The sequence below is a fragment of the Homo sapiens genome, chromosome 7 (genome assembly GCF_000001405.40).
Source record: "Homo sapiens chromosome 7, GRCh38.p14 Primary Assembly".
In the NCBI taxonomy this organism is placed as follows: Eukaryota; Metazoa; Chordata; class Mammalia; order Primates; family Hominidae; genus Homo; species Homo sapiens.
This window is the reverse complement of record NC_000007.14, coordinates 55426886-55447346: the sequence shown is the minus strand read 5'-3', so window position 1 is coordinate 55447346 and position 20461 is coordinate 55426886. Positions and strand designations below refer to the sequence as shown.

At 46.9% G+C, this 20461-nt stretch overlaps 2 protein-coding genes across 6 annotated transcripts in view, besides 5 other annotated features; one reads left to right on the top strand and one right to left on the bottom strand.

The window, feature by feature from the left end:
- VOPP1 (VOPP1 WW domain binding protein) overlaps window positions 1–12383 on the top strand; it is a 137539-nt gene extending 125156 nt beyond the window's left edge. For all 4 annotated transcript variants that reach the window (XM_011515539.2, XM_011515546.3, XM_011515540.3 and 1 more), the window contains exon 5: window positions 11173–12383. In XM_011515539.2, the coding sequence (XP_011513841.1) occupies window positions 11173–11381 (209 nt within the window). In that variant the 3' untranslated portion in view covers window positions 11382–12383. The remainder of the gene's footprint in view (window positions 1–11172) is intronic.
- Window positions 6215–7041: an enhancer, noted in NCBI's record as "H3K4me1 hESC enhancer chr7:55507999-55508825 (GRCh37/hg19 assembly coordinates)". NCBI's record gives its function as "activates a minimal SCP1, AML or CMV promoter by ChIP-STARR-seq in primed H9 embryonic stem cells {active_cell/tissue: H9 hESC(primed)}" and the evidence as "EXISTENCE:reporter gene assay evidence [ECO:0000049][PMID:30033119]".
- A 1226-nt stretch (window positions 12384–13609) lies between the features above and the next one.
- Window positions 13610–20461, bottom strand: part of LANCL2 (LanC like glutathione S-transferase 2) — a 68401-nt gene continuing 61549 nt past the window's right edge. For both annotated transcript variants that reach the window (NM_018697.4, XM_047420614.1), the window contains 2 exons: window positions 18900–18972; window positions 13610–16121 (listed from right to left, as the gene is read on the bottom strand). In NM_018697.4, the coding sequence (NP_061167.1) occupies window positions 16027–16121; window positions 18900–18972 (168 nt within the window). In that variant the 3' untranslated portion in view covers window positions 13610–16026. The remainder of the gene's footprint in view (window positions 16122–18899; window positions 18973–20461) is intronic.
- Window positions 13884–13963: an enhancer, noted in NCBI's record as "active region_26016". NCBI's record gives its function as "activates an Ori minimal core promoter by ATAC-STARR-seq in GM12878 lymphoblastoid cells {active_cell/tissue: GM12878}" and the evidence as "EXISTENCE:reporter gene assay evidence [ECO:0000049][PMID:35858748]".
- Window positions 13994–14043: an enhancer, noted in NCBI's record as "active region_26015". NCBI's record gives its function as "activates an Ori minimal core promoter by ATAC-STARR-seq in GM12878 lymphoblastoid cells {active_cell/tissue: GM12878}" and the evidence as "EXISTENCE:reporter gene assay evidence [ECO:0000049][PMID:35858748]".
- Window positions 18855–19357: an enhancer, noted in NCBI's record as "H3K4me1 hESC enhancer chr7:55495683-55496185 (GRCh37/hg19 assembly coordinates)". NCBI's record gives its function as "activates a minimal SCP1, AML or CMV promoter by ChIP-STARR-seq in naive H9 embryonic stem cells {active_cell/tissue: H9 hESC(naive)}" and the evidence as "EXISTENCE:reporter gene assay evidence [ECO:0000049][PMID:30033119]".
- Window positions 19358–19862: an enhancer, noted in NCBI's record as "H3K4me1 hESC enhancer chr7:55495178-55495682 (GRCh37/hg19 assembly coordinates)". NCBI's record gives its function as "activates a minimal SCP1, AML or CMV promoter by ChIP-STARR-seq in naive H9 embryonic stem cells {active_cell/tissue: H9 hESC(naive)}" and the evidence as "EXISTENCE:reporter gene assay evidence [ECO:0000049][PMID:30033119]".

The window sequence follows — 20461 nt, the reverse complement described above, 5'->3', positions numbered from 1 at the left end:
CCAGCTGTGCCCCTCACTAGCCGGGTAAGCGCAGGGAGGTATTGTGCCACACTGAGCATCAGTTCCCCAATCCGAATCAGGATAGAACAATTCCACTGTTGCTTGGTTTACCCAACTGCTGCTGTTCCTAATCTGACGCCTTGCCTGATTCTTCTATAGTACCTGGAAAAGCCACCTATCATTTTCAGTTGTCCAGTCTCCCTTGCAGCAGGGGCATCACATGACACAGTTTTGGTTGATGAATTGCACATAGAACTCCACACTGGAGCCCCTGGGGAAGATTTCACTTTTCTCATAAATGGGATAAGGGTTGCTGGCATTGCCACAAGCCCGTTCACCCTGCTTTGATCACTGATGTGATATCTAGAGCTGCAATAACTATCCTGTGACAAAGAGGGAAAGGCCAACATAATCACAGAGACATCAGCTTTTATTGCTGAACTTCTGAAGCAGTGAGCCAATTCTAGGTTTATCATCTGAAAGAATAAATTCCTGTTCAGTTGTTTTGTTACTAACCTCCTTATGAGATGGTTGTGAGAATCTTGTGAAGTAATGGTTATAATGGCTAGATACAGTGCCTGGCATTGTTAAATACTCATAACATAATTTTATGATTGTTAGTAGTACCAACTGATGTCAGTTGCCACAAGTTACTTCAACTCTGATATATGAGTCTGGCCAGGGATAAGAAGATGTTTGTTGAAGATCATCCTTGGCTGCCAATTAGCTATCAGTGACCCTGGGCAAGTTTTGAACCTCTATGGGTGTGGTTTCCTCTGCTGTTTATAAAATAATACCAAAGTTCCCTTGCAGCTCTAAAATTATTTTGTTTTCCCTAGAAATTTTTTTCCATCACAGGATGTAGCATCCAGGCTGACAGGACCAGAGAAGAATGTCTACAGCAGGGAAGGGTGTGGTATCTCTAAGTTACATGTGCACAGTTTACAGTAGTCCCTCAGGGCACACAGGACTTCCCAGCCAGCACTTCTCATGTGATGTAATATGAAGTGCCAGTATCACTGAAGTAGTACTCATATCAAAAATGTATCACCTCGGCCGGGCGCGGTGGCTCACGCCTGTAATCCCAGCACTTTGGGAGGCCGAGGTGGGCAGATCACGAGGTCAGGAGATTGAGACCATCCTGGCTAACATGGTGAAACCCCGTCTCTACTAAAAATACAAAAAAATTATCTGGGCGTGGTGGCGGGCACCTGTAGTCCCAGCTACTTGGGAGTCTGAGGCAGGAGAATGGAATGAACACAGGAGGCAGAGCTTGCAGTGAGCCGAGATCATGCCACTGCACTCCAGGCTGGGCGACAGAGCGAGACTCCGTCTCAAAAAAAAAAAAAAAAAAAGTTTCACCTGGATACCTCCACAACAGTGTTATCCAATAGAACTTTCTATGAGGATGGAAATGTTCTACACAGGCACTGCCCAATACATAGCCACTAGCTACATGTGAACACTGGGCACTTGAAATGAGGCTAGTAAGGCCGATGAACTTAATTCTTAAATTTAAGTTAATCCTCATCAAATTAAATTCATTAATAAATACCCATATGTGGCTAGTGGCTACCATATTGGACACCACAGCTCTAAAGGGTAGACCTAACTTCCTGTTTATAGGAAGTGGGAGATTGCAGAACAAGTTAAATGACACCAGAGGGAAAGAAGCAGACAAACCCATAAAGGAGAAGCTCCATACAACAGTCCTGGAGTCCTGAGAAAGTCAGCACCATTAAAAACAAAACAAAAACACCAGGTTGAGGGGATTGTCCTAGGTTGACAGAGATGAAAGAAACATAAAAGATGTACTTAGACTGGATCCTGATTGAAAAACAATACAGACCTCAAAGTCAATTGGGGGAACACTGAATATGGCTTGGATGCAACATAGTATTATCAAAATCATTGTTAGCTTTCTCAGGTGCAATACTGGTATTATGATTATGTGGCAGTTTATTATTTTTAGAAGAGGCATATGAAGTGTGTAGGAGTAAGGGGTCCCAATGTCTACAGCTTATTTTCAAATGATGCAGCAGGTATGTGTGTCTGTGTGTGTGTGTGTCTGTGTGTGTATGTCTGTGTGTGTGTGTGTGTGTCTGTGTGTGTGTGTCTGTGTGTGTGTGTCTGTGTGTGTGTGTAGAGAAAGTGAGAGAGAGAGCAAAAGAAAGAGCACACGTGCTAAAGCAGATATGACAAAATGGTTTCACCCCCTCTTCTGTTCTGTTATGCAAGATACATCTTCCAAGAGAGAAAATAGAAAATGTACCTAATAAACCCAGTGACTTATCAGGAAATTTCCAGGCAGAAGGTCAAAGATGTTGTCTGGCTCCTCCTCTTTTTACATAAAGAGCAAGAAGAAATGTCAGAGAAAGAAGCCAAAGAGAGGGCTATTAAACATAAAGCAGTCAGGCTGGTTTGAAAATTCTCAGACCTTCCAGATGGCAAATAATGCCAAATTTAAGAAATGGCTTCCAGGCAAAAATAAAACCCAAGGTACTGTCAGAAAAATATGGTATAAAGAGAAAATCAAGGGTATAGCTTGTAAAATCTCTTGTTAAGAGTTTTGTTAAGAGAAAATTCTGGGGTCATGCCTCAGACAACTGTTTAGATTTAAAAAAAAAAAAAGAGTTTCTACGAAGCTGGCAGGCATTGTGCCCCAGCAACTGAGCAGAGGCTGATGCCACAATGGGGTGAACACATGGGAGCTGGGGAGGGCAGAGTGTATTTTTCAGGTGGAGGGATATGAGTCCTGTATCCAGTTTCCAGAGTGGCCCTCAATCCTCTCTGCCTCCTGATATTTGTGCCCTTGTGCAGTCAATTCTACACTGAATACAATGCGGTAGAGGTGATGGTGTGTGACTTCTGATAAAGTGAGTTGCAATTTCTGCCTTGGACTCTCTTGGATCCTTGCCATGTCATAGGGACTCAAGCAGCCATGTGAACAGGCACACATGAAGAATGTACTGGGTTGGGCAGTGTCTCCTCAAAATTCATGTCCTTCCTGGACTCTTAGAATGCGACTTTATTTGGAAATAGGGTCATTGCAGATGTAACTAGTCAAGGTGAGGACATACTGGAATAAGGTGGGCCTATAACCCAACATGACTCTTGTCCGATGATCTCTAACTTAAGCTGATGACATGGGACAAGCCTCCAAACCATCATCAAAGCTCTAGACTACAGTAGATAAATTATAAAATAAAGAAGTTACGGCCGGGTACGGCAGCTGTCACTTATTGGGGTGATTTATCACACAGCAATAGATAAAGGGCCAGTCTTGTTTTATGGATCTACACTCCTTCTGGCCCTTCCCTGCATCATATTGAAGCAAATCCTGAACATTTCATCTATAAATATTTCAGCAGGCAACATATCAATCTGAATTAAAAATTACAATAGGCCAGGCATGGTGGCTCATGCATGTAATCCCAGCACTTTGGGAGGCTGAGGCGGGCAGATCACCTGAGGTCAGGAGTTTGAGACCAGCCTGGGCAACACGGTGAAACCCAGTCTCTGAAAAATACAAAAATTAGCTGAGCGTGGTGATGTGCGCCTATAATCTCAGCTACTCAGGAGGCTGAGGGAGGAGAATCGCTTGAACCCAGGAGGCAGAGGTTGCAGTGAGCCGAGATTGTGTCATTGCACTCCAGCCTGGGTGATAAGAGCAAAACTCCGTCTCAAAAAAAAAAAAAAAAAGGGACAATAATTCCTTCATATCTTTACAGATCCAACCAGTATTTACATTTATCTGTTTTCTGTTTGTTTGTTTGGTTTTGTTTTGTTTTTTGAGACAGAGTCTCTCTCTGTTGCCCAGGCTGGAGCGCAGTGGCGTGATCTTGGCTCACTGCAAGCTCTGCCTCCTGCGTTCATGCCATTCTCCTGCCTCAGCCTCCCGAGTAGCTAGGACTACAGGCGCCCGCCACCACGCCTGGCTTATTTTTTGTATTTTTAGTAGAGATGGGGTTTCACCGTGTTAGCCAGGTTGGTCTCAATCTTCTGATCTTGTGATCCGCCCGCATCAGCCTCCCAAAGTGCTGGGATTACAGGCGTGAGCCACCACGCCCAGCCACATTTATCTGTTTTTTAAAAATTGTTTGTATCTGATCCAAATAAGGTTCATAGCATGAGATTTCTATATCTTTTTGAACCTAAATTTTCCGTCTTTGTCCATTTTTAATTCCATTTGCTTTTTATTTTTTAGTTTATTTATTTTTATTTTTTTGAGACGGAGTCTTGCTCTGTCACCCGGGCTGGAGTTCAGTGGCACGATCTAGGTTCACTGCAAGCTCTGCCTCCTGAGTTCACGCCATTCTCCTGCCTCAGCCTCCTGAGTAGCTGGGACTACAGGCGCCTGCCACCACGCCTGGCTAATTTTTTGTATTTTGTTTAGTAGAGACGGGGTTTCACTGTGTTAGGCAGGATGGTCTCGATCTCCTGACCTCGTGATCCACCTGCCTCAGCCTCCCAAAGTGCTGGGATTACAGGCATGAGCCACCGCACCCGGCCTGCTTTTTATTTTCCAAAGAAACCGTGTCGTTTTTCTTGCAGCTTCACCCACTCTCTGGGCCTAGCCTCTTGCATCCATCCTCATGGTATTTTCCAGCATGTTCCTCTGCCCTCTGCCACTGTATTTCTTATAAATTGGTAGATAGAGAACCTTGATCAGATTTAGGTTTTTTTTTTTTTTTGGTCTACTTCAAAAGTGGTGTGTATTTCCATTAGAAGGTACGCACATCTGCTTGTCTTCAGAGAGCCACCAACGATCAGTGCCTAGACTCATTAACTGATGGGGTACAAAGCAGTACCAGTTGCATTCTATTATTCCTTCAGATCCTTGTCAGGTTGAGACACTGACAACCCACTTGTTTGAACAGGCTATAAGACACGAATATATAGCTTGTGTACACAATTTAATGCTTTGACTTTAGCACGTCTTCTGGCGTTGCTTTGCTCTCTGTCCACAGAGCTCTTGATGCTGTGATGTCACTCTCCAGTCCACTCTCATAGCCTGTCTTCCTCCACCCTTCGGAGAATGTAGATTAGTTCCATTTTTTATCCTTGACTTTGAAATGTCTGGATGCCACTCTCATAAATTAAGGTCTGATGGAACCTCTGCCCCGCAACTCTCTAGCTGTGTGACCCTGGGCAATTCTACCCACCCTCAGCCGCCTCACATGTCATAAACTGTGTCTGAGAAGCCTATGTACAGGCTTATAATAGGGCCAAACAGGATAATTGAATGCAATGATGCTTATCAAGTGCTTTGCACAGTGCCCAGCTCAATAATGGCCGATATTATTATTATACATTAGAAATGAAATGCACTCAAGCAATTAAATGCATTAAATGTATCAGAGCTTACAATAAAGAGAATGAGGAGTCCCTGTTGCTATATCCCTTGAGTAGGCCACTGGGAACATTACTGATGACTCAAAATGTGCTAATTTTAGATTAAATTCCACATCTCCCCAGAAGAGCCAGCCATGTGTGAGGCATGTGTGTGCTGAAGCTGCTTCATCTGAATGGGAAGAGCAGTTCCCTGAAGGGAGGGACTGCTATTCCCAGAAGAACCAAGGAAGTGGGGCAGGTCTGGCAGAAAGAACCAATGACCTGGGGGGTGAGGGTGGGGGTGCGCTACTGCTCTCTGATGGGGCGCAGCTACAGAAGCAAGCAGTTCCATGATTAACTTTTTTTCCTAGAAAACTGTCTGATGTCCATTACTTAATCCTTAATTTAATCTAAAAGTGGCATGTATTGAACATTTGTACCATGCTAAGTGCGTTACTCAAATTATTTAATCCTCCCAATAACCCCATAAGGCAGTATTGAAGGTGGCAAAGCCCAGATTGGAACCCAGAGGGTCTAATGCCAGAGACCACTCTTGCCATGGTGAGTGAATCACACCCTCACCTGCCCAGGCACTTTTAACTGTGCGCTTGTCTCTGGGTGTGGAATACAGGAGTTTCAGGCATCAGCAGATGATGTCTGTGACGCCCTCATGCTTTTCAAGTTGGGGGAGGTAAATCGGAGAGAGGGGCAAGGCTTTTTGGTTTTGTAGTTGTACCATAGGCCATGGCAGTTCCCACTTCCTCCCCCTTCCCTCCTCCCCAGCCATGTCCTTCTGATGCTGGCAGCCCTTGAGGCTGTTCTTCCAGGAAGGCTGTGGAGACACAGCCATCTGCAGAGCGGGCGGCTCTGTGCCGGCAAGCAACCTAGAGGCTATGGGGTCTTAGAAACAGAAAATGGTCCCAATTTGTGAACTTTTCCATTTGACAAGATGGAATATAGGCTTTCCATATAGGATAGAATCACAAAATGAAGATATCAGCAAAATAATTCCATGCGAGAAAATTTCAGAAAAGCAGAGTCATCCGGGTGTGTTCCGTGCCCCTCTTTGATCCCTGAACATGGTTTTGGCACAGGACAAGGAGGAGTGAGGGGCGTGGATGTTCTGCTCCATGTGTGACGACTGTGCCAGCGGCGTATACTCAGTACGGCTCAGGAAGAGTCCCAGGAAAAGTACTGAGATGCAAACCCTCATGGGCTTAAATACATCCGGCCTGTCTCTGGTCCTCGAACCCAGCAGGCTATGGGGGCAGCAGGTCTGTGTGCAGGCCCAGGGACAGCCTGTGCCAGGCACACGCTTGTGCTCCCTCCCAGGGTCCATGAGACCAGGCAGACCTGGGGCAAGAGGGCAGGAGACAGCCGCTCAAATGGGGAAGCTGAAAAGCAGAGGAAGCAAGTGTTGACCAACAGCTGAACAGTGAGGTGGTGGGAGGACGGAGGAATAGGTGAGCCCTGAGCCCAGCCGCTGTCAGTCACTGGAAGCGTGGCCCCAGATCCCATGCCTCTGGCTGGCAGTGAGGAGGCTGACTCAAAGGCAGGCCAGATATCAGTCAGCCCCCAGATGCCCTTTGCTAGAAAAAGTAAAACGGATGGTCTCTTGCCCAGAGTGAAGGTCAGAGTGCCACTGTGTAGGACAGGTGGCTGGGAGCCTGCTCAGCAGGAGCTGCCAACCCCAGAAACTGATGCCAGGGCCCCTCTAAAAGGTCCAGCCAGATCATGCTTCACAGACATGAGCCACCCCGGCCAGCATTTCCACTCAGCTTTTGTCCCCACTCACGAATGTTCTGCAGCTTGTCACTATGTGTACCCTCGAGGGTGGCTGATGAGCCCACATGCAGGAAAAAGCAGGTCAGATAAACTAAATGGCAAGCTGAATGCCTGGCAAGGAACGCACAAACCTGCCACCCGCTCTCACCAGCGGTGACCACGGGAGCCCCTGAGGCTACCACGCAACCTGCCTCCAGACCAGTGTCATCTGGAAGTGTGGGATCCCCAGCCAGCGGCATTAGTGTCATCCTGGAACTTGTTAGAAATACACATTCTCGAGCCCCACCCAGACCTACTGAATCAGATGCCTGCCCAGCAGTCTGTGTTTGGCAGATCCACTTGGTGCTCTCTGGCAGGATGCAGCTGGAGATCAGCTCATTCATTCTCCTCCTGGGTGCTTTCACACTTTCTCTTCTGCCTTCAATCCCAGCACCTCCGCCTCCTCCATCCTCAGGCAGCAGATGCTGCTGAGCTGGCGCCTACTTCACTGAGAACTGAAGCACTCAGAGGCAGCGCCCACTGCTCCTGTGCCAACCGGTGTCTGTTCACCCACAGCGGTGTTGGCGCTCCTGTCGGATCCCTAGTCCCGGGACACCAGCCCCCAGGCCCTTGCCTCCTTGGAGACGTCACTCCAGCACTTCCACTGCGTCCTGTGTTATATCACCCCTTCTTTCCAACTGCCCATTTTATCATTCCCATCAAATTACAAACATCCTGTTATTTTTCTGAAAAAGTTTTTCTTGACCCTATTTCGCTCACCAGCTGTGACTCTCTTTGTCCTACCTTTTCAATGAAACTCCTGTCAAGTGCTGCCTGTGCTGCCGAGGAGTTCACCGCAGACCTCCACACTGACTCCAATGACCAGTGCTTGGCTTTTGTCTCATGCGTCAGAAGCCTCTGACACAGGCGACCCCTCCCTTCTCCACACACGGCTTCCAGGGAAACAGACTCTTGTCTCCCTACCTCAGTGACTGCGCCTTCTCCTCTTCTCTGCTGCTGTGGCCCAGGGCTGTGTCCTGGCTCCCTTCCCTCTCTCATCTCCCTCACTTCCCTGGTAACCTTATAGGTCTCCTGCCTTTAAATAACATCGATAAGCAAACAACTCCAAAGTGACGCCTCCATCACAGACTTCCCTCCAAACTCCAGACTCGCCCGCCTCTAATAAACCACCTTGAACTCAATGTGCGTACAACCGGGTTCCATCTCAGCCCGGCCCTCCCAGCCCAACCTGCATGCCTCAGCCTGTGGCGCCCTGCCAGATGTCCAGCCACTGTGCCTGAGCCATAGCTGACAACTGTCTTACTCTGCCCCTGACTGCCAGGAAGTCCTGCTGGCTCCAGCTCAAGATCTGTCTAGATTCTGACTGCGCTCACCACCTGCACCTGCGTAGCCACAGCCGTTTCCCTCCCAGACCCGCTGCCTGGGTCTCTGCTCCTGCCTGTGCTCCTACAGTGATCCCTTTACAATGTGGGCCAGATAATGCCTTCCTTCACTCACAGCCCTCCAGAGCATTCTGTTTCACCCATGGTCAGAGCCAGACTCCTAAGAATGGCCTTCAAAGCCTCTGTGCCTTCTCCAAGGCCTGCGATTCTGCAGCGAGTGAGAAGTGCTTCCCCGGGGCCTTTGCCTGTCCTGCTCTGTGAGGCGCCCTGTCCACACTTATTCACCTGCCAGCCTCTTCACTTTCTCCGAGTGTTGACTTTGGTGTCATGGTTACCGTTCTATTTCAAAGAGCCTCCTGTGTACCTCCCACCATCAGTCTCCCTGATCCTGCTTGCTTTATCCTTTTTCTGTATCATTTATTACCTTATAACATATAAGAAAATGTACACACTTATGTGTACTGTCTCCAACTGCTAGACTGCAGACGCATTCAGGTGAGTGTCTTCGCCTGTTTTCTTCACTGATGGATTCCAAGTGCCTCCGTAATGTCTGGTGCTGAGTAAGCACTTACTCAGTTGGATACATTAACCAGTTGGATAAATTAACATCCTCGGAGAGATAAGACACCAAAACCAAGAAATACAAAGAAGGGCCAGGCGCAGTGGCTCACACCTGTAATCCCAGCACTTTGGGGGGCCGAGGCAGACGAATCACCTGAGTTCAAGATCAGCCTGGCCAACATAGTGAAACCCTGTCTCTACTAAAAATACAAAAAATTAGCCGGGTGAGGTTGGGGGCGCCTGTAATCTGTAATCCCAGCTACTTGGGAGGCTGAGGCATGAGAATCACTTGAACCTGGGAGGCAGAGGTTACAGTGAGCTGAGATCGTGCCACTGTACTCCAGCCTGGGCGACAAGATAGAAACTCCGTCTCCAAAAAAAAAAAAATACAAACAGGATACTATATAAAAGATACACTGATATAAAAAATAAATTCCAGAAAAGAAAAACGAAATGAAACATTCAATAGAAGGACTGGAAGATAAAGTTGAAATCTCTCAGAAAGTAAAGTAAAAAGACAAAGGGGTGTAAAACAGAAGAAAGAAAATCAGGGATTATATTAAGAGGCTTAACATCCAAATAACAGGTGTTCAAGAAAAAGAGACAAGGACAGAGGGTGGGTGGAGGCAGTAAAGAAATAACTCAAGAAAATTTCCTAGAATTGAAAGACATGAATTTACAGATTGGAAGGGCCCATTAAGAACCAGGACTAGGCCTATTATCAGATGAAAATCCTACAACTTGCAAAACAATCATACAAAGCAAGATCAAATACAAAGAAACAAGAATCCCAATGGCTATGAAATCCCCACAGGCAGCAATGGAAGGTTTAGGACAGCAGAGCAATGCCTTGAGATATCAGTAGGATAACCAGTCGAGAATCCTTTAAGCAGTCAAACTATGATTTCAGTGTCAGAGCAGATGAAAGACATCTTTCTGGCACACAAGGACTCAAAATAAGTTCCTCAGCTGCTGTGAGGGAGCAGGTACTGCAGATGCTCCCAGCCCTCCTTACAGCTACGAGGCGGCCTCCGTGGGGACTCCTCGGGAGCCAGGCCACCTCTGGCTTGCCAAGAGGATGTGTGTAGGTCACCCTCTCTTATCCTGGGGATCACACCTAGTTTCCAGCAACTGAGCACAGTGTTTGGTAACTTCCCTGCCACCTCCATTAGGAATGGTCTGAAAGGCTGGCCTTGTCAGTTCTTGGAACTTTAGGAATACTTATACACTTACAGATGAATGTGTGATTATGCTGCTCGGGACACGTTTTATTCTCCTAGGGCAATACTTTAAGAGTGGGGTAATATCTTTATCAACATGTGAGCAGCAGCGTATCTGCTGGATGATCCTATGAAAGCCACAAGTTTCTCTTGTACAGTAAGGAGGAGGGTGGAGGGGGCCACAGAACCAGGGAAAGCTCCCTGGGATGCCCAAGAAAACACCAAAGCAGCTGACACCCTGGTCTCTCTGAATTCCTGGATTTTGAATAAGCCTGAAACTGTGGTTTAGGACATCTTTGCTCCTGCAGCATCTTTTCCTCTTGAAGGATCCTGGGGCAGTTACCAATTCACATATGCATGCACACACACGCATGCACATGCACACACGCACACGCACGCACACACGCACACACACCCACGCACGCACACACACGCACACACACACACTCATGCACACACACTCATGCACAATTGTCTGAAAGCCCAGGGCTGCCAAGCAGAGGACTGACACGGGGTTGTGATGAGGCATGAGACTTTGAAGTAGGACAGATCTGCATTTCCCTCCACGATGCAGGCAGGTGAGTGCTTCCTCACATGAAAGCCAATCACCGGCACCTTCACCTGCCCCATCAGAGCACTTACACGGACTAGAGGCTTTTCCCATTTGTCATTTAAATCCTCCCACCTACCAAATAAGGTAGATATTACCATTGTCCTGATTTTATAGAGAAGAAATGGAGGCTCAAGAAATAACTTGACCAAGTTCCCACAGGGAACAGGTGAGCTCAGAGGTGAACACAAGCTCCCAGGCTCCAGAGTCTCTGCTCTTAACACACACCACCCTGGGTTGGCTGTAAAATGTAAACATGTATTTATTACTTTCTTTGTAGACCATATACTCCTTGACGACAGGGACTACCACCTTCACCTTCATGCCCACAAGGTGTCACACTGCAAGGCTGAGCTGACCCCCACTTTCCTTTGGTCCGCCTCCTGCTGTTATCTGGAAGAGGCGTACAACATCCTTCACCCAGAAGCTAGCTGTCCTCACCTCACTGCAGAGGAACACTCCGGGGTCCTTCTGAGGGAGGCCCTCTGAGTCTGAGCTCAGCTCAAGGCTTCTGCCGTGCTGCAGAGGTTCCTCAGGCCTGATGCGATGCTGACTGAGGACAGGAGCCAGGGTGGTTTTTCATCATTCCACTCACAGCACTCAGCACAATGCCTGGCACAGTGTGGATGCTCCGTAAGCATTTGCTGAGCAGAAGAACCGAGCTTCCCACCTCCAAACGGGAGAGGGAGCTGGGAACAGTCAGATTTGTGAAGCCGACTGATCTCAGGATAGCCCCAGGCATCTGAGAGCCCCTGCGCCTCAGCCTCTGGGGAGCTGCAGCCTGGGTAAAACAGGATCATAAAGGAGCCCTGCCTCTGACAGGAGACAATGGATGGAATAGCCTTCCAGAAGCGCACTGGCCGGCTCACTCGGGGCTGCGTACTGTGCTGCCTGGACCACCACTTCCTATGCCCACAGCTGTGTACCAGGAAGCAGAGAAGAGGCTGACAGGCACCAGGGACTTGGTCACGCTGGACTTTGACACTGATGTGGAAAAGTCAGGACCTGCTGGCAGCATCTTCTACCACAGGAGGGGTCTTCCTAAATGCGACGGCACCTCCTGATCCAATCCTGCTGCCATGTCCGCCTCCCACAGCACCCCCGGCTCCATGCTTTGAAGCCCGGCTGGCCCACACACACTTCTTTACCCCCCAGCCTGAAACTTCACCTTTTTCGGGTCACACACCGCTTTGAAGCGGTAATGAAAACTGGGAACCCTCTCTCCATGTCAGTAATCATATGCACACAGAATTCTGCATGCAACGTAGTGGGCTCAATGCCTCCTGAGGACCACCAATGGTCCCATCCACATTACACATCCAGTCTCTCACCAGACTATGAGGCTCATGAAAGGTAGAGCCATAGAAGTCGCGGCGCAGAGCCTGGGCGGGAGTGGAGATGGTTTGTAAAGACGTCTTAGGGAACCTGGACTTTAAACTTGGACCATTGTATTTGTAAATTTAGCAAATGAAGCAACAGATGTGAAAACTGCCTAAGCTAAAAAGCAGTTTCAATTCCGACAAATGGCTGTAGGGTCCCTCCCCACCTAGAAGGCTGTGGGGGAGCAGATATGACAGGGCCAGAGGAAGCAGCCCTATATGGTCCGTCCTGCTTTTCTGTTCACTAGCCATGTGCTCATGGTCATGTCGCAGGGCCTTCCTGGGTTTCCGTGGCTTTCCTTCTGCATCGAGCACCCAGGGGAAGAGGGAGTGGGTGCAACTTAGCACCATGAGCAGCACCTGAGTCTGACCCGACTGTCCCACACGCGGGCTGTGAGATGCTGGGCAAGTCTGGCACTGTCTCGTCTGTGAGAAAGTGTTAATTACAACAGTCCCCCTTCCCAGTGCTGCTGTGAAAACAAAGGGCCCATCACAAGGAGGGAGCTTGATAGATGTGGCTCTTCTGACCCAGGGTTCCAAAGGTCTTGTTGTTGGAATCAAAAAGAATGTACTTATAGATAGAAACCTGCAACTAGGGCTGAGCGCAGTGGCTCACGCCTGTAATACCAGCACTTTGGGAGGCTGAGGCGGGTGGATCTCCTGAGGTCAGGAGTTCGAGGCCAACCTGGCTGATACGGTGAAACCCCATCTCTACTAAAAATACAAAATTAGCCAAGCATGGTGGCTCGCGCCTATAATCCCAGGTACTCGGGAGGCTGAGGCAGGAGAATCGCTTGAACCTGGGAGGTGGAGGTTGCAGTGAGCCAAGATTGCGCCATTGCACTCCAGCCTGGGAAACAAGAGTGAAACTCAGTCTCAAAAAAAAAAAAAAAAAAGAAAGAAAAAGAAACCTGCAACTAGAACATCATAAGGCGAGCAACTGCCACTTTTTTTTTTTTGAGATGGAGTCTCCTTCTGTCACCAGGCTGGAGTGCAGTGTTGTGATCTCAGCTCAGTGCAACCTCCAACCTCCACCTCCCCAGTTCACGCGATTCTCCTGCCTCAGCCTCCCGAGTAGCTGGGACTACAGTGTCCGCCACCACGCCCAGCTAATTTTTATATTTTTAGTAGAGATGGGGTTGCACCATGTTGGCCAGTATGGTCTCATCATCCGCCCAACTCGGCCTCCCAAAGTGCTGGGATTACAGGCATGAACCACCATGCCCAGCCGCAACTGCCGCATTTTTAAGTGAAGAATCCAACCTTCGGAACAGTCGCCATTGCTCCTAACCAATGTCACTCTCAAACACGGAGAAATGAAAACGAATGACGATTCCATAGGTCATCACCACAGAACTGGCTTTTACTAACAAAACCAAAGAACCTCAAACACTTTTTGTGGACTTCAAATTCTTTCCTTCAGATTTTAAAATGACATTATGCATGTACATATTTTTAAAATTTAGACACATTTTAGAGAACACAATTGTGAATACAAATCTAAGAAATGAATGAGATGTACTGAAATCTGATTCAAACACTTATCTTAAACTGACTTCTGTCAATCCTCTGTCCTGTGAAGTAAGTCCCGTTTCTCCTTTGCCTGGAGGGACCGAGCTGGAATTACTGTCACATGTTACAGACATGAGGCAGGGGTTAATGCAGAACCACGGAACAGCACCTCTGATGACATCTAGTGGATAAGTAGGAAGGTGTCAACCCAGGTGGCTTTTAAAAAAATCTGTAAATAAAATCTCCTCCTTTATTCCACAGATTTTAATCTTTCCCTCAGTGTGTTAGAAAGACTAATAGTGTTTTTCAAACGTGTGTGGATGGACTCACCTGGGGAGACACCCGCATCCTAGGCCACCTTTGTGGCTGCTCTGCAGACACCTGGCTGCACCCGCTGCCTCCTCGTCTGAGAGGGGCTGCCCTGGAGAGCACCGTGCTGGCTGTGTTGCCTACTGGCTTCCCTTGAGAAATGGGGAGGCAGGACCTCTACTGAGTGCTGTGATGTGTTATGTTTTGATGTGGTGGGTGGGGAGGATGGGAACAATGTTATTTGGATGAGATTGGACATCGTGTGAGGTCTTCAGCAAAGCAGCTACCCTCAGCTCATTGACGACAGCATCCTGCCTGCAGGTGTGGGCTGCTGGACTGCCTGCAAAGCCCATCAACAGGCCCTGGAGGCCAGGTAAAATAGGATCAGGATGATTTCTATTCACAGAAGTCATCAATCTAACATGAAAGAAAATAATGACTCAGGAGCAAGGGTGTCTGCAGCAAACAGACTCTCCAGGCATCGTTTAGAAGCTGAATGTCACACATTTCGGGTGCCAGCCCCACACATAACCACACAAGTAAAAAGGAAGCTTTTCTCCTAAACTGACATTCTTTTTTCTCTTTTCTGAGAGGTGTGGACACTGGGGCTGGGAAATGCTCAGGCCTCCCCCTGCAGACAAGGACTGGGCTGTTAAGAGAGGCCTCTTGTCTTTCATGACACAAGCCTTAGCTCACAAGACGAGAAGTACCTAGTCCCAGACCACCTCTTCCATGATGACAGAAACCCTTCTAAAAACTGAAATCTATGTGATAGAATTAATGAAGGTAGGCTAACCCAAATTACTGCTCACATTTTTTCAAATAAAAGTCACACAAATACCATAATGTTGTTGGTTAGAACATTATGTTTCTCATATCTATAAATAAGGGCTAGTACTTTTTATCACCCAAAAGTAGACAAAAAATAGGAAATGCATTCATTCCAAATTTAGATTTTGATAACTTTCCAAAAGGTTGAAGTAAGTTTAATTGCAGGGACATGAGTCCAGTTGAGTGTCTTTCTGTTAATCTGCAATAACCCATCTGGAACTGTATTTACTTTTCTTAGAACAGTAACTTATAATGTTGATAAACTGAGGTGGAGCCTGTTTTAGTAACATATACCTGGGTAAATGTTCTGGAACTGCCAGTGCTTAGTCACTGCTGCCTACAGTGTGGCCATCAAAGGCTTCTTGGGAAAGCTCCCTTTGGGTCCAGAAGTCTCCCCAACAAAGCTCCAGCTGCCCTGGACTCTACACAAAGCACCTGAAGCCTCTGCTGGGAATGGGGCCCTGACAGAGCTGCAATGCACTCTGAGGCTTCTTTAAAACACGAAGGTGAGTGTAAAATCCAAACGGGAAGCGTTCAGCTGTGCACTCCCAAACCACCCCAGCACGCCCCTGCAGAACTGCTGGTCCTGTCCGTCCTTGGAGTGGTCGCTCCCTCATTCTCATCTGGAAGGTGCCACAGAAAAGGCTGACAATGTATTATCACTAGGATAGACCCTAGATAATCTTTCTGATATACAAGATAGACACCACCTGTTCCCTCATTTGTCAATATGGAAGAAACCCCACTTTATACATTTTATACAGAAAAGTGGACACTGCCATACATTCATGCATGGTCAGCTCTGAGCCCTCAGGAATAGAAGGGCCTTCCATTTAAAACAGCTTACACCTGGAGACAACAAACACCAAGAAACATGCAAACACTACAGAGAATCTGTATGTGAAGAAGTCATATTTTATATTGATGAGGGTGCTGTTAGAAAATGTTGATGGATGGCTTCGGTCACTCATGCTAGTCTAACCAGAGGGGCCTGTGACGGTGTCTGCTTCTCTTTCAGGATTCCCAGTTGTTTCTGTGTCAGGCACTAAGCAATCTGGTGGCTTTTGGTCCAAATGGGTATTTTAGTTGTCTTTTTGCACCTTTTAATCCCTCTTCGAAGAGTCAAGTTCAAATGCTGGAAACCGTGATGTCTCTGGTCCCAGGACATCAGAGAGAAAGTGAATAGCGCCAGCCATGCCTGCAATGTAAAATGAGGAGCCTCTTAGGAATGGCATAAGGGTAGTGTCTATAACAGTGACTTTTAATCATTTCCCTTACCAGGGGCTGCAAGCATGTGGGAAAGGTGCTGAGGACTCTAAAGATGACTTCATTAAAAACCAAAGATATCCTTATATTTAGCACCTGGCAGGTAATATAATAACACCAGTTTTCCTCACTATCTTATATTTAAAAAACTGGTTACTGGGCTTTAATCTTATATCTTGAAACTTTAAGGTGGCATCACAGAATCGCTATGGAAGTTATGGATGCTGCTAATTACGATATTCCTATACACGGAGCTTCCCCTCAGAGCCTGTATATGCTCAAAGTTGCATTTTATATCTTCTTGATATTTGAAGAATGTTATTTTTAACAAACCTCAATTTGGTCAAAATCCCCACCCCAAATCATTGCAGTAATTGAGCAGTGGGTTTTCAACTAGACTCACAGCAGCTTAGGAAGGGTGTGGGGTGGAGAAGGTGCTAGTAGCCCACCAAGGCCTCCAGGTCTCCTGTCCCCACTCAAATCAGAACAATCCTCCCTTACAGGGTTTTTGTTTACAGTTTTTCTTTTGATGTAAAATTCACGTACAATAAAACACATAAATCCAAAATGTACTTCTCTGAGGTTTGTAAAATGCATATACATGTGCAAACAAAACCCGATTAAGACCTGGAATATTTCCATCACCCCAGGAAGTTCCAAGTGCCCCTCTCCAGTCCCTCCCATCCCTGTGGTCCCCCCAGAGGTAACCAGCAGCCTGGTCTTGGTCCACCATGGATTAGTTCTGCCTGCTCTGGCACTCTTATGAGCATGGCCACAGTGTACAGCCCTTGTATCTGGCTCCTTCGTCAGGGTTCCTGCAATTCATTCACGTTCTGTGCCTGTTCATAGTTGGCCCCTTCTTACTGCTGAACAGTACACTGCAGATTGTTTACCCATTTTTCCTACTGACGGTCATCTGGGGTGTTCCCAGCCTTCTCTGTAAGTTTTTGTTTAAAGAAAGGTTCCAGAAACTTGTTTAAAAAATTAGAAAACCACTGACCTAGGAGTGCCCATGAGAAGTAAACAGGGACCCATAACAAGCCTAGGAGGCCCTACAGCAGGCCCTGCGGGGATGAGCCTGGCTTTCCTGCTCAGGTGTGTGGGCAGCGGATCCACTGGGCGGTGCACTCCAGCAGGAGTGAGCTCCTCCAGAAGGGGTGCCAGGTGCCAGTGAGCCCTCCCAGTGGCTCCTCCAGCCGGCCAGTTTGCCACAATGGCCTGCATTGCTAGGCACACGGCTTAATAATCCCTCCGTCCCCTGACGGGAATTTGGTGAGAGTCCCCCACAGTTCTGTCTGCCAGGCACTGGCGAGGCACAGGGGAAGGAGGTGACCTATTAACTTCCCGCCTTTAGGGAGCTGTACATCCAAAGCTTTTGACCCACTGGGGCTCTGAAGGTGCTATTATCAAGTTGATAAACTCCATTTAGAGTTCAGGCATTAACTCTGTTATATCTGATGCAAATGCATTGCATTTTTATGACATAGAGGACTACAACTTTTATTCTAGTAAGTACTTTTTCCTTATGAGTTCTCTGAATATTAAAAAAGATCATCTTCTGCAAAACATGTGACACATGCTCTGTTTTCTGCTCGTATTTCTAAAATATGATTTAAAAATATTACCAGTATGAAAACTAAAACAGGACATACCACTACAGACGATGCAGACAGAGGATGATAAGGAATACCAATAGCTTACATATTTGCATTTCACCACATGTACGTAATTAACCAATTTCCCAAAAATTACAAACTATGACAGCTCACCCAATATGAAATAGATAACTTGAACAGCCCTATAACTATTTTAAAAACGGAATTTATTTTAAAAGTCTAGAAAAATAAATCTCCAGACCTAGAAGTTTGTACTGGAGAATTCTACCAAACATTTAAGTTACACTAATACCAATTCTTCCACCAATTAACACAGTCTGTCCCAGAAAACAGAAGAGAAGAAGATACTTCTCAACATGGTTTATTAGGTCAGTATGACCCTGATACCAAAACCAGAGAAAGACAGCACAAGACAGGAAAACTGTAGGCCAATATCCTTCATGAATAGAGATGCAAAAACCTTTACCAAAATGTTAGCAAACAGAAAGCACGCCCATACCCACATACAAATCTAACGAATATCCGGGCCTGTTTGTGGGGCTTCTGTTTGTGCTCCTGTCTTCCCTTCCCTGCGCCCGTGGTGGACTCTGGAATCCTTGTTGCTTTCACTGCCTGCCTATCAGTGCTCCTCTTTTCAGAACTTTCTTCAATATTCACTCTTGCTATTTTTTCTACTTACTAATATTTCTAATTGCTAATATTAATTATTCATACTTCTTTATATGATATTAAATATATTTAAGTAATTATTCAAGCTTCCCATGAATACACCAATATTAAATATGCAACATTACAGATGAAATGCAGAGGAGTAAACTATTTCTTCCATTGCTAACAGCAAGCCTTCTACGTTCTGTCTGCATAGACACCTCACAAAAAACCTAAGAACACTTGGAAGACATTCACAGGAGCACAAAACAATAGGTAAGGTGAAGAGATTCAACATAATTTTCAGCAATAAGCTACTCTGCTGATTATTTTACAGTTTGGAAGTATTACTTGAGCCAGGTCAAATATGAACAGTGCCAGTCCACAAGGGCAGGAGAACCAATTTCACCCAAACATTTAATCTATAGCATTTTTCTCACTCTTACCTTCAAAGAGCGAATAGGGTCTGTCAGGAATGCGGCACCCGTGTGCTCCGTAATCTAGACACCACTCTGCAAACTGAAAAGAAAGGGATTTCTTTTTAAGACTGGAGTTTCTACCTGGTGAAAAGGCAATAAATGAGAATGCAATGTCTTCACAGGCATCAGGGAAGTGGACCCCCAGCTGTAGGGCATTCAGCGTGGGCTCCATGGGCTACTGCACCCCCTCTTCCAGGGGTGAGGCCCAGCAAGGCTCTGCTTGCGGCTGCCTCAGCTGTAGAGTGGGGTCTGCCTTACAGCTGCTGGGAAGTCCGAGGTGAAAACCGAACGGCTCAACGACACTCTGTTCTCCCTGGCACCTTCCTCCTGCCGCTTCAGCTGATGATTCCAGAAGCAACTCGAAACGCCTGCTCTATCCTGAACAAAAAACCCTGGCTCTAAAATGGCTCTCAGCAGCAGCTGCTGGCTCCCCTGGCCCCAGCTGGGAAACAGCTTCAGCCCTGCCTGGGGCGCCGCCTCTCACTGCAGCCCCTCCACAGCTGCTGCTGCTGCTTGGCAGCCTCTCCACCTTCCCAGCCCCCGGCCCTCAGCCCTCCCTGTGCTCTCCTCTGAGCTCCTTGACCCTTTCTTCTTAGACCTCTTCAATGGGTGTTTCCATATCGTTTTAATAAACTTCCCTTTTGTGCCTAAGCTATCATAATTTGAAGGGTCATTTGTACACTAAGAATCATAAGTAATAAACATGAGGAGTATCAAGTTCAGCACACGTAAAAAGAAACTCACTCTGCTTTTCCCCTCCCAATCTGCTCACTCTTAGCTTGTTTGATGGCCCATCTACCCAGTTTTCCGAGTCAGACAACAGAAAGACCTTCAGATATTTCCATCTTCTCCACATTTAAAAACATGCGTTAAATTCTGTGGGCTTTACATCATAGGTGTTTCTAAATGTCTCATTTTTTATCCCAACCTATGCTTTGGTTTATGACTCAACATTTCTTGCATTAATTACTAAACCACTATTTGGGGAAACCCAAGCCCGCCTCATTCTTCCTACTGGGACTACAGCAATCTTTCCAAAAGAGGAGTCTGAATATGGATTCCAAACCCTTCCATGAGCCCCCATCTTCCATATCAGTATCCAGTGCTAGCTGATTATTAAACTTACTGGGGGAGCTTGAAAAATATTAGTGCTGAGGCTTCCTCATTTAACTGGTCTAGAGTGAGGTCCAGGCATGATTTGAAAGCTTCCCAGTGGTACAAGGTTGAGAACTACTGGCTACAGGGAAGAACTAACTTTCTCTGGCCTCTACCCACCTGTCTGACTTTTACCTTTGGCCACACATTTCCTTCCCTTTGCATCCCAAAGGCTGAAGTGCTTACGGAGTCAGGAACACACAGAGCTGGTTCGTGCTCTGCAGCTCTGCCCAAGCTATTCTCCTTATCAGAACTGCATTCCACCTCTGCAGGCCACCCCTGCCTGGCCCACCTGAAAAACCCCTCATCTTTAAAGAACCGGCTGCGTCTCACCCCTCCTGCGGTCTTCTCGCATTGCCCATATTTGCATAGTC